This window comes from Homo sapiens, chromosome 2 (genome assembly GCF_000001405.40).
Source record: "Homo sapiens chromosome 2, GRCh38.p14 Primary Assembly".
In the NCBI taxonomy this organism is placed as follows: Eukaryota; Metazoa; Chordata; class Mammalia; order Primates; family Hominidae; genus Homo; species Homo sapiens.
In genome coordinates, this window is record NC_000002.12 from 115,725,128 (window position 1) to 115,739,288 (window position 14,161).

General features: G+C 38.0%; 1 protein-coding gene across 24 annotated transcripts in view; it reads left to right on the plus strand.

The window, feature by feature from the left end:
* DPP10 (dipeptidyl peptidase like 10) overlaps positions 1 to 14,161 on the plus strand; it is a 1,403,140-nt gene that overhangs the window by 1,282,487 nt on the left and 106,492 nt on the right. For all 24 annotated transcript variants that reach the window (NM_001321910.3, NM_001399849.1, NM_020868.6 and 21 more), the window contains 1 exon segment: positions 2,689 to 2,809. In NM_001321910.3, coding sequence (NP_001308839.2) covers positions 2,689 to 2,809 — 121 coding nt within the window.

A 14,161-nucleotide genomic window follows, 5' to 3' on the forward strand; every position in this document is an offset into this window, starting at 1 on the left:
ATCAATAACATTAGGATAAATAGCATTAGTGTGTGTCATATTTTCATTGTGATTAAATCTAAATGCAGCCCTTGATCATTGTCATTGGGGTCCAGTTTAATTTCCTCAGAGTGCTCAGACAGTACCTGGGGATACTTGCAGCTCTCAAATTGTTACTAATGGTTAGAGTTTTCAATTATTTTTGAAACAAATACAACTCAAGGATAAACTTTGATAATTGAAAAGGGATTAGGATGTTAAAAATGCACACTTTCATGAAGACAGCTACTTATTTTTTATCCACTGAAGAAAACATCTTATGGACATTCTCTCATATTACAGCTTTCAGTGGCATGGCATTAGAATTCTGATTCCATATTGCTTGTTCTTCTACATTGAAGCAGATGTCAGTTTCATATGGATTCTGAGTATCCAGTCTGTCAAATATAAATGTAATTACTGGTCAATAGTTTTGGATAATTTTTACATCTGTTGAAGTTGTGGAGGTTTTATTAATTATTTTGACTTAGATTTTATTCCCTTCAGAAAGCTGAGAATTCAGAACCATATTACTTTGGGTGAGGTCACCTCCACTCCTAATAAGAGCAATATGTGCTGAGTAGTCCCGGTGTGCATGATCTGTGCTGTTATGACTCACAAGTCCCACTAGAAGTTTCAGGTACAGGAAAGGAATTTCCTCCAAATAAGGAAAACGTTGTGCACCTGTGTTGTATACTGTTTGTGAAAAGCAAGAGGATGTAGTATTGGAAAGGTGTAAAGCTTATGCTTTAGTTGGCTAGAACAAAGTTCATATTTTTTCTCAGTTATCAGGGGTCGTGAAAGTCATTAAATCCAACTTCTATCCAGTGTTAGGGAATCTGAGAGGTAATTCTCAAACTTTTGCCTAAGTGTGATCCACATAATTTTAGTAATAAGCTTATTTCCTATTTCATTGTCTCACCTGAGAACTTTCTAACTGAGGTGGAAGCAATAAATATTATTTGTTAATAGCTCTCTCCTCCTCCATGTCCCTTGCCTTCCTACTATTAATACTACCACTATTGCTGCTACTGTTCTGCTCCTACTCCTAATACATATTTAACTAATATAACATGTACTCTACCAGACAAAACGTTGGGATAATTTACATATCAGCTAAAGCTGTAGAGGCTTCATTTTGACTTAGAGTTTGTTGCCTCCAACACTCTTAACATTGTGAACCAGGTTATCTTGTGTACAGTCCACCCTGCTTTTAGTAATACCCCAATGTGCTATTTATTCTGCATTCATCATCTCATTTACTCTTCACCACAGATCTGTAAGGTATGTGTGAGCCTTATTCACATTTTATAAAGTAGAGGACCGAGATTTAGAAAGGTTAAGAATGTTATCAAGGTCATTAGGATTTTAAATTTAGGCTGCCTGGCTATAAAGTCCACGCTTGTAACCACCCTGCAGTACCCTCCTTTCATTGTTTTTATTTATTTTTAAATTCTTACTCTGATATTGAGATTCTCACCTGTGGTATAAAAAAGATCCTGTTGTAGCGGTGGAATTAATAATTAAATACACCCACCTGTAAATGCTTGTTAAATCACCAGAATTAAAATAGAATATCCATGAAATGTTCTAGATGTTCAAATTGCTCTTGTCACTGTGCACACCAAGATTTAAAACCTAGGGCCTCGTAAGTATTCAGACAATTGTCTTGGAAGATCTTGTGTTTTCTCTATTTGCTACTGTGTGTTAATTCTATACCATGCTAGGATACAGGGGCCCTATGCCATCTTTCACCTTCTTAGTAGAATGTTTGATCTAAATAGCAATTTGGCTTGCCCTGGACAATGTTGTGCTTCCCCTAACCAAAGAAACATGGTTCTCTGGAAGATTATAGTACCACATTGGTCAGCAGTTTCAAGTATTTGGCATTGAAGACATTGTAAAGCGAATTATAAATAATTTTATCCTGAATTATCTATATCATAGGCACATTGTGACATTGTTTAGTTTGCACCATTGTTCCTGTTGTTGGGGCTATTGTTGATATTATTTTGGCAGACTGTGCTATGTTCAAATTAAGACTCTCTCTGGAACTCTCAGTTATAAGGTTATTATTATTGCCGTACTATTTACAAAAGAGTTGCCAAGACTGGTGCACTGGAAGCTGTGTTCCACTTATCAATTCAAAGGAATTTTAGTATCGTTTCTACCATCAGGGAATCTGTGAGCTGAGCTAGATAGAATCAGAGAGATTATCTAGAGATTATTTTATTGATCACCAAATGCATTTTTGTAAAAGTAAAGACCCCAAATTGAAGCTCTTCAAACAGTCAGTTGGTGTTACTAAAATGGCTTATAGTTACAGTTATCAGTCTCTTGAGTAAGCAAAATGTTATCTCAAAGCCAAAACAATTTTGTGGTATGGAGAGAGATTATTAAGTAGTTGAAATATTGTTGCTGAAAATATGGATTTAAAAGCATCAATACCAAGTGCCATGGAATTTCCAAATGACAACTTGATATTGATACAATAAAACAGAAAAAGCCATTAATAATTGAAAGCAATAAAAACATATGCCTTGAATAAAAACAACTTGAAGCCCGTAAATAATACAACATGGCTATTCAGTGATCATTCTGTAATATTAAAGTTTCAAAAGGCATCCTAACGTGTTGGATTTTTTGTTTGTTTCACATTTCCTGATCCAGATTTATATTTTTGAAAATAATATCTACTATCAACCTGATATAAAGAGCAGTTCATTGCGACTGACATCTTCTGGAAAAGAAGAAATAATTTTTAATGGGATTGCTGACTGGTTATATGAAGGTGAGTTGATCAGATTTAGTTTCAAAGGAAACAAATGACATATTTTTATACAAAATCTACCAAAAAAAATCTATTCATTCCGGAGCAATACTTACAGTACAGTTTCTTCTCATTTTCTCTCAAAATTGCCCTCATGCTTTCATATCTTTGCATGTGCTTATATTTTGTGTGGTTGAGATTTACATCTACTTACATGATTCCATGTTTGGTGTATATATGTACATATAGGCTAGATAGATATTATTTGTGAGGACAACTAATGAAAGTAAATGGTTACCTTATGTCACTTTGGAATTAGATGCTGAATTTTTTCTGACTCTCTGGGAAAGAAGAAACAGAAACCTTTATTTCTAAAAAAAAAAAAAAAAAATGCATAAAAAGCCACCTGATTTTAGTTATTTCCATTAGGGACATTCTGTCACACTTTATAAGCTATTGCAGAGGGAGCAAAATAAAACCCACATAAAGAGTTATTTTCAATATCTATTGAATCAAGTTTTAGTAATAGCTGAGAATATAAAAATAAATCAGGTGATGAAAATTTATCCAGTTTTTATCACGTACCAATTATCAGCTGAGTTCTACATATAGATTGCCTGGGCAAGACTCAAAGTATGAGTTTATTACCTATGTTTCAGATTCTTCAGCTGATTTTGGCAAAATATGTCAAGATTTAAAGTAAGTCTACTTTATTATAAATTATAAAGCTATGAATCATTCAAAAAGTGAATTTTATTTCATGGGCAATATTTGCAAATGTAATCTCTCTACCTCAGATTTGACATTTTTAATTCTATAAGAAAAGTGAATAACTTAGACCAATTATTCATTCATTCACTCTTTCACTCAAATGATATCATTGAAGGCCTACTGTATTCTGGATAGATGTCTAGGTGCCAGGATAAAAGACGGAGCAAAAAGTACTGCTCTAATAAACCGTATATTTACGTGAAATATTTTGTTAGGTGGAGCTATTTTATTAAAGAAGAGATGTTGTAACCCTTGAGATTTATATGTATATGTGTACATGTATATTTATATCTATAATAGATTTCTGTGTACATGCCAGCATGAAATAAGATTTTTAGAGGCTACAATTTATTGTGAAGAGCAGTGAGAGCTTCCCCGAAAATATTAACAATAAGTATGCTGTGAAAGTATATATTAGAAAAAGAAATACACAGGTAAGGAGTGTTCATTGGTTGAGAGTTACAGAATCTAAATCTGGCTTTTCTATTTCAAAGAGATACATTACTGGAGGGGACTGGGATGGCCCTCAGAATTTAATAAACAGGTGGACAACACATTTAAAATCTGGTTAGTTCTGGCAGTCTAGGTAGCAGGAGCTAATTGAAGTGCAGAGACTAAGACGTGCCCTTTTTCTTCAAAATATTATTGGTACTGTGTGACACCCTGACAGATGAAGAAACCATGTTAATGCAGTGTGGTAAGTAGTTGAATCTTAATCAACACAGAATTCTATGGAAGAACAAAGGAATGATACCATTCTAGGGATTTGCAAGCATTTTTTCTAAAGGAGAAACCCTGGCCAACAACAGTAGCTCAAGCCTGTAATCTCAGAGCTGTGGGAGGCCAAGGTGGGAGAATTATCCAAAGCCAGGAGTTCCATACCAGCCTAGACAAAATAGCAAGGTTTTCATTTCTACTAAAAAATTTTTAAAAATTAGCCAGATGTGATGGCATGCACCTGTGTTCCCAGCTGAAGTGAGAGGATTGTTAATGAGAGAGGATTGCTTGAGCTCGGGAGTTGAAGACTGCAATGAGCTATGATCCAGGCCCCTGAACTCCAGCTTAGGCAACAGAGTGAGATCCTTACCTCTTAAAACAAGGGAGAGAGAGAAAAAGAGAGAGAGAGAGAAGAGAGAGAGAGCATCTGAGTCAAGCCTGAACAGTTAACAAGTGTTACGCATGAGAAGAAATTAGGAAGGAAAAATCTAAGCAGATGTAACAATTTGCAAAAACCCACAAGTGTGTCCCTAGGGAACCAAAGTCTCCTTGATATAATTGGGCCATAAAATTTGAGACAAAGGAAGGTAGCAAGAAGCGAGGGATAGTGACCTCTATCAATGATTTGGAATTTCAATTATTTTCCTACCATTTAATAGGAAAACTAATAGAAGTTTTCAAGTAAGGGAGTGACAAGATTGGATCTTCCATATGAACAGATTGTTTTTGTGACAGCAGGAACCTGGGGTCTAAGAGTGGAAAGAAACGGTGAGCGGCTGTAAGGCTTCTTCTATGTTCTATCAAGAGATAATGAGCAATGGAACTAGGGTTAAAGCAGTAAAAAGGAGGAAAGACTCTAAAATTGATGAGACAATGAAATATATAGGTCTTAGTGGCTAAGCAGATGGGGTGAATGATAAGAAGTCAAGGATGATTCTGTGTCTTCTGGTTTGGGTCACTAGTAAGTAGTGGTGGCAGACATAGTGAGCAAGCATTAACAAGGAGCAGTGGGTTTCAGGGAAGAGAAGACTAGATTAGCAGCAATGCGGGCATTGAACCACGTACTGACGTGCTCCCTTGGTGATAAAAGGTGGTCTGTAACGTCGATGAAGTTTTCAGTCAACTGAGGGTATACTCAATGTAGACCATGCTTATTGTGCTGCTCCGTCCCGAATTAAGATGACTTGGGTCTCTGTCCTATTGAAAAGGCTTCATACATTTATAAGGAAATTTTAAGGAGAGAAATTAGAGACCGTTTCCTGACAAATACGGTAATTTTCTTAACTAAAGAATAAAAATCTATGTATTCGGTCTGAGAGTAAACTGTTTGTAGGGGTTGTGGAGAGCAGAACAAACGGGTAATACAAACTTTTGTGATGATGCTGTAGGTCTGACGCATTCCAAAGGGGAAAGGAAAAAGTATAGTTTTTGCCATACTTTGGGCTCCTATGTTGCCGTTAACTAGGAAATGCTGTACGTGTATGTGATTTAATCATCAAAATGTTTGTGCATCTAATCATTTATGAAGAAACTAAGACGCACCCAGTGCTGTGGCTCATGCCAGCAATCCTAGCACTTTGAGGGGGCGAGGTGGGCAGATCACTTGAGCCCAGGATTTCAAGACCAGCCTGGGCAATATGGCAAAATCCTGTCTCTACTAAAAATACAAAAAAAGGCTGGGTGTGGTGGCTCATACCTGTAATCCCAGCATTTTGGGAGGCCAAGGCCGGTGGATCATGAGGTCAGGAGATTGAGACCATCCTGGCCAACATGGTGAAACCCCGTCTCTACTAAAAATACAAAAATTAGCTGGGCATGCTGGTGCGTACCTGTAATCCCAGCTACTCGGGAGGCTGAGGCAGGAAAATCGCTTGAACCAGGGAGTTGGAGGTTGCAGAGCCAAGATCATGCCACTGCACTCCAGCCTGGTGACAGAGCAAGACTCTGTCTCAAAAAAAAAAAAAATTTAACTGGGTGGGGTGGTGGGGTAGCACATACCTGTGTTCCCCCCTACTCTGGAAGCTGAGGTGGGAGGATCACCTAAGCCAGGAAGTTGAGGCTGCAGTGAGCCAAGATCATGCCACTGCACTCCAGCCTGGGCAACAGAAGCGAGACCCTGTCTCAAAAGAAAAAATTTAAAAAAGAAACCAAGACTCAGAGAGGATCAGTGATTTAGACATGGCCTCAGAGCTAATGAGTGGGAGAGCCAACATTTGAATGTGTGTCTTTTGTTCCTAAAGCCAGGGCTTAGTCACTAGTCTACTCTACTTGTTATAGGGGGATGTCCTTCACTGTTCCCCAAGACACAACACACGTTTTGGGACCTAAATTGTCAGACTTCAGTGATCTGTTTCCTCAGCCAAAGACTCATCCTACTGTCCATGGACTTACTCTAATCCTCACTGCATTTCCAGGAGGAACCCTACCCATGACTTCAATGTTAAGGTTTGGCAGAGGGATGTAAGCTATTCAGATGTTTTTGATTTTCCCTCACTATTTTGACTGCTACCCCCAACCTCTGCTTCAAGAGTCCTACATGCACCTTACCCTCCCACTATCACCTTGCTTGTGGAATGTGCCAGGAGCTCCCAAGCTCCAGACCTTTTTTTTCCCCTTTAATGCACTCACTGAAACACAATGATATTGCCTAGGGAATGCATGTAATTTCAACGTTATGTGTGTGATACTCTGGTGTGGAGATTTCCTTTTTATTACTTTACAGGAGTCAATTACAATCTAAATTAGCATGTATGGGAGACACAGAAAGTAACATGTAACATTTCAACTTTTTTAAAATTGAAATTTACCTTTTGTAAATGTCATAGAAAAAAAAGATGAGAGAAAGAGTGACATAAAAGACAATAAAATATTTTTACAGTAAGCTTTACAGGCATGTCTTAATCTTTTAAGACCAGGCCAATCTGTAAGAGTGGCTGCTGCCCCCAACTAGTCACTAAATAGAGTCCTTAAAAGTGTCAGTTTTAAGAATCTTTGTCTCTATTTTTAGTATTGTTTAGTTCCTAAAGAAAGTAAAGCAATATAAAGTATAATGCATTTTAAACAGCGAAGTCAGAAAAATAAGAAAATGCTCAAAAAGGAAGATTATTTAAAATGTAATTCGCACAAAACACGTATAATGTTATTCACTTAAATTGCTGTATTTAACCTAGCAATGTAATTAAATACGATATCAGATCAAAGTTTTACTTTAAAAACTTTTAAAATGTTACTAAAAAGAAAGTTTACAGCTACCCACTTCACAGCTTTGAAAATTTCCATAAAGCATTTAATCTATTAAATAGGAAAAAAAATGACTCACTTTCAAATATTTAAGCATATAGAATAATGGAACTAATATGCTTAAGTGATTTACAGATATATTTTAGAACCTTGTATATTTAAGGGATTATTCCTTAAAGTTTAATCCAACAGCTGTGGAGCAAATATACCTGCCAGGCATTATCTAAGAGCAATACGATGAGAAATACGGGTTTCCATGTCTTGGGTATTTCCAACTTAGTGTAGTGATAAACAATAAACAACTATTGTATTGGGAACCATTTGGAGCATAGTAAATATAAATATAAATAGGATTTATTTCACATACTAAATAGAATTATAAGTAGAACTAAGTTTGATAGGATGGAGGAATGTCAGGTGCTTCATAGATGACATGGGCCTTGTGTTGGTATTCAAGAATGACAAGAATGAAAAGGTGCGGAAAAATTCACGAGATAAGCAATATTCTTATCAGCAGATTCTGATTGTTACACTTTTTTTGTTGAAATAAAACAGGGCAAAATGCCTATTTTCACCTTCATGTTTGTTTCACATTAATGTTTCACATTAATGTCTTTTGGCGACATGAAATTGCATTCATTTCATCATTGATTCAACAAATATTTATTGAGCACTTGCTCAGTGTCATCTATGGGGCTGCAGCATGGGAGTCACAGGAAGGCAGGGTTATCAGTAGTGCTGAGTCTCCAGAGGTCAAACAAGGGAAGGATTCCAAAGCTTTTGTTGGATTTGCTCATAGATCATCGATGGCCTTGACAGGAGTAAAATCAGTTAATTGGTGGGGCCAAATCCAAGACTGCAGTGGATGGACATGTAAATGGGGAGTGAGAAAGTTATGAATAGAGACTATTCTTTCAAGGAATTTGACAGTGAAATGCAGAAAATTGAAAAAAAAAAAAAAATCAACCACAGGCCTGCAGAGCTGCAAGTAGCATCCTCAGGAAATCCTACTGGTCTGAACTGACAAACTAAAAATGGAAAAAATCAGCTTGCTTTTTACAATAACACATTAATCTAAACACAATCGTTGTATCTCAGTATTGTGGAAGTGCTTTGTGTTGTGGCTATGTTTTTAAGTGCCTGTGATATAAAACCACATGTGCTGAAAACTCCATCTGCTCTGCAGTGAGATTTTCTAAATCAGAGTAATAAAAACGATGAAGAGCCAAACGTACACTAAATTGGAATGAAATGCCATTTGTAAAAATAAATTCTTTGTAAATAATATAATATAATTAACATTGGAAGTTTCAATCCATGAGTAAATGTGCCCATTAGTTGCAGTTAAAGAAGCTTGTGCCTTATCCAGGATGACTGTTAAGCAAATGCATATTAAAGATTATTTTATTTACCACCTTCCCATTCCAGGTAGCTTTATCTTTCCATCTGAAGAAAGTCACAAGGCTCTCTATATGATTATTTTGGTACATTAGCATTTTTATGGGGAAGAACATTAATCATATGTCACTCTAAAATAAATGAGAGTAGGCGATGCCTCATTTCTCTTGAAAAGCGTACTCAAATTTGGGTCAGGTTTATTCTTGGGAAGTACTGGACACACATATTTCAGCACCTACGACAGAACCTGTTTCTTAGAAATCTAGAGTATTGATTTTAGCCAACGGGGTATCTTTGTATCTTCAAATCTCATAGAACTTAGAGTTTACGGTGGGGCCGGGCATGGTAGCTGACGCCTGTAATTCCAGCACTGGGAGGCCGAGGTGGGCGGATCAACTGAAGTCTGGAGTTCGAGACCAGCCTCGCCAACGTGGTAAAACCCCGTCTCTAATAAAAATACAAAAATTAGCTGGGCCTGGTGGTGAGCACCTGTAGTCCCAGCTACTTGAGAGGCTGAGGCAGGAAAATCACTTGAACCCTGGAGGCAGAGGTTGCAGTGAGCCGATATCATGCCACTGCACTCCAGCCTGGGCAACACAGTGAGACTCTGTCTTAAAAAAAAAAAAAAAAAAAAAAAAAAAGAACTTAGAGTTTACACTCAATTGGCCCTTAGCATGCATATATATACACACACACGTATATGTATATTTTTTTCTGAATGTGTCATGTGTATAACTCATGTCTCCTTAACCAAATTGTAAGTTAGTTGCATAAATCAGTGTCAATATCACAACTGAAGAAAGGTGGCACGTTCAAAAGGGAGTAATTCAAGGAGTTTAAGCTATGAAGGGGCCCCTTATCATGAACAAGGTAAATGCCACAACCGTGGCTTGTAATGATTTAGCCATTAACAGCCAAAGGGGGAAGGGGACACAGCAGTCACCTGAAACTAGGAGAGAATGCTATACAATTTTTACAGAAATAGAAGCAGTGGCTTTTGGTTGGGCGAAGCCAAACTCACATAATTTGGATGCATGGGAGATAAGAAAATAAATTCCACGCACCCACTTCCTCCCTTCATTTGATTCGCCAGGGTTTCATAGTGGTCATACCCAAGAAAAAGTCAAAGAACATAAGAATATTCTTATTATTCAAATTAAAAGCTAGTGTCCCAGGAAAAGAAGTACATAAAATCTCATCTGCTATTGTTTCATTGCAGGATGGTATTAGTCCTGTTATATATCTGAAATCTGTAAACATAGCCACCACTTGTATTTTTCATAGAAGGTTGTGGAGAAATGCCCCCATTAATAATAATAATAAAAACTTATTATGTGATCTTAGTTAGTAATTACAGTTGCCTTCTTCCAATGTTCATTTCTTTTACTTTTACTTTCTGTCAGGATGCTACAGAGGTTATTTAACAGGTGGATCAGGCCAAAATTTCATTCCTGCCAAATGTTACTCCTTTCCATCCTTTTCTATTTTTTTTTTTCTTTGACAGAGTCTTGCTCTGTTGCCCAAGCTGGAGTGCAGTGGCACGATCCCGGCTCACTGCAAACTCCAGCTCCCAGGTTCAAGAGATTCTCCTGCCCCAGCCACCTGAGTAACTGGCATTACAGGTGCCCACCACGCCCAGCTAATTTTTTTTTTTTTTTTTTTTTTTTTTTTAGTAGAGATGCGGTTTCGCTATGTTGGCCAGGCTGGTCTCTAACCCCTGACTTCAGGTGATCCGCCCACCTCGGCCTCCCAAAGTGTTGTGATTACAGGTGTGAGCCACTGCACTTGGCCCCATCCTTTTGTTAATTATGTTGTTACAATTTCAGTTTTCCATCGACCAGTACTATTGGGCAAAAATGTATTTGTGACTCTCCTGAGTTCCAAATGTATTTCTCCTTGCCCTCCTTTGCACAGCAAACATATTTTTATTTCTGGCAGATGAGGACCATCATCAGACCCAGCTTAGTAACTGTGTTTTGTCTTTTTTTGGGGGAGTTGCATAATGAGCCCACAATGGTGGGGAGAAAATTTCCGTTTCCAATTCAGAGGAATAGAATTATGACTATATTCCTGGTGGATACCCTCGTCCTTTAGGCAATGGACTTCTAAACTCACCAACTTCAATATTATGGGAATAAGAAGCAAATTGTGTTCTGTGGGTTATTGCTGTGATAATAAAAGATAACACTACTACTTCTACCCCTTAGTGCCTAGATCTGTACCTCATGGCTATACAGGTGGGGCACACTGCATGTTAAAGGATGACATCCCGGCTTCAAGGTTATTGCTAAACAAATAGTGCCAAAACTGAGGTAGAGCAGACTATTTTACTCCTCTATCAATCCAAGTACATATAGCTAGTGGGGAACATGATAAAATTAGTAAATACCACCACTGAGCCCATGGTGCTTTTTTGCCACAAAATATTTCCTTTTTTGAGATAAGGTAATGTGGATTATTATGGTAATGGATAAATGTTTCTGTAAAGAGTAGTGCTGAACAGATCCATTGGCAGCAAAAGCAAATCCATGCCCAGAATATGTGTGTATCTCTGTGATGACAAAATGCTACACTGTCTTGATGGAAAGGTTTTCATATAATTCATGTGCCTTCCTCATTACATTATCTCAAAAAAGGAAATATTTTGTGGCAAAAAATTCACGTGCCATCAGCTCTTCCCCTGAGAAGTGATCCTATGTCAAAGGCTCAGCGATGGCCACTACCATTGGCAGGTAATGGTGGGAGCCAGAGGCTGACGGACATGTACTTGGCAGTCATCTTGTCCTAAATTTTTCCCCTTTCTAGTAAGTCGATTCACTTGTTTTTCCTAAACCTCCCTGTCACTAGTTTTCTAATTTTACTTTTGCCACATCCCTGATAGGTGGACCCTTATTAGTTACTGCACTTGAGTCAGGATGTTTCCATGCCTGAAACTAAGTCTCCTACCACGAACAGTGGACAACGAAGTATTCTGTTCAAAATCTTACCAACTGGGAAGATTTCTGTTTCTTATTGTCTTTCAGTGCCACTCCTGAGTCAGATTCTAGTATGGAGCCTACCCAATTCCAGCTCGTTGTTGTACATCCTGCAGACCTGCCATAAACCAGGCCCGCGTTTATTTCTCCCTTGCCAACTTGTGTTAGAAAACATGCTTTGTGGCACAGATGTGAGATGAGGAGAGGGGATGAAGCAGAGAAGGCAATACAATGGGCAATCACATTTGTTTTCTGGCTCAATTTCACTTTTATTTTATAGTGGAATGGTGTGTGTGTGTTCAGTTCTATGGTCAGTGGATCAGATAGCCATCAGTTCATGATGGGCAGTTTGGGTTGCATACTCACTTGGTATCCCATGGTGAGGCTAAATGTTTCTCCTGGAGCCCTGGAAAGAGCTGCCCTTGAAATAGATAATATTTTTCAGTACAAGCGACAATGATCTTTTTTCAAATCTTGTAATGCCTGTCCTATGATTGTCATATGGAGAGTCCCAAAGGCTCCACACAGCATCTCTATTTGCCATGGGCACTGACATTGCCATTGGATCTGCTGGAGTCACAAGGTTCAGGACATAGAGGAGGTTGCAACATGGCCTAGATCAGTTGCAAGGCCCCCTGGTACACTGATTCTACTCAGAACTAGCAGTTTTACAGCTTGCCTGGGATATAGAACAGAGAACATATGTCAATGCGGCTTGTGTTGTTTTCAAAGTCCAAAGAATTCAATTCCTCTTTACTTTTACATAAGTACAATTGTAACAAATTTTCTCTGACTTTAGAAGAGATATCCCGGTGTATCCCAAACTACTAGATTTCTAGAAACATCCCCGGTGTTGCACACTTTTAAATTTTAAAGAAATTTGTCTCCCTTTCTCTACCTCTATGCAGAGGAGTTCTAGTTCCCTAGGATAGCGGTTGCCTCTGTCAGCAAGAAGATTTGTCAGAATTTTGATGTTCAATATCTTCAGCCATAAAATTAACCACATACAGCAGCATTCAACCATAATGTGTTATTTATAAGATTGGCCAAGAAATCATAACTATACTGTATGCTTTTGTCCAAACATTCTTATCCTGTGTGTTGGGGTCCCAATCCATCGTTATGAATATCTTTGTCTTACCCTAAAAGAGCAAATGGAGTTGAGCCTCTAATATGTATTGCAGCCGTGTACCCGTTCCTATGTTCTCTTGGACTGTGGCCATAGTTTCCCTGCAACTACAGAAGAGATGGACTCTTCCAAAGATACCATCGTGACCTTTGGTTTTGCATGGGCATTCCTGATTTCACAATCATGGTTTCAAGCTTTCTTTTTTCCTGTGTACTATCTGTGGGGTGTCAGAAGAACCATGCGAACTTGTTTCCTAATCTTTACATCATCATTGTTGTAGCAAGTAAGTGCTACAACACTTACTTGCTATAACTAGAGATGCTGTGTGGAGCCTTTGCCACTCTCCATATGACAATCATAGGACAGGCATTACAAGATTTGAAAAAAGACCATTGTCACTTGTATTGAAAAATATTACCTATTTCAACAAGCATTTGTTCTCCCAATGCCTTTTCCCTCTACCTGTATTTTATTCCATGTCACCACCACTGATGATTGATTACTCACAGTTCCGTCTCTTGCTATGGATTGTCTATGCTCCAATTCCCACTTGAGAAGGTGATAAATTCCATTTGTATATATAGATAGAGAGATGACAAATGTAGTCTCAACATCTAATTTTGAGGGTCTCTTCTGAGTCTGCTGCTATTATTAACTTCTGTATCTGTCAGAGTCCCAAGTGTTGGCACATTCAACAAGATGCTTTGAAGATAATTGATTTACAAAGTGAACATTTTATTGTCTTTTTATTTACAAGGAGAACATTTGCTGAGGTTAAGGGGTAGGAAAACCACAAAGGAAAGTGATGTAAACTAAGCTAGTAGCAGCCAAGTTGTTAGCACTCCTATGACCATGAAGATGAGCCATTACTAGACACATAAGGAGAAATTTGTGTAGAGGTGGCTGCAGTGACAGAAGTAGTGACATCATTTAAAGTTCACAGCCAGCCTGAGGTAACATTGTAGGATAGAGCCAAGAGAATAAATAACCTGACTTTACTCTCCTCTTTCTAATCTCCTGCCAAAGGGAAGCCAGAGGACATGGGGGCCATTTTGATGTCGTTCATATAGGTTAGCTTTCTGGACCAGAAAGCGGGAATCAAAAAAGTGGATAGTGGATCTTGAATTAAATGAAAGATACCCA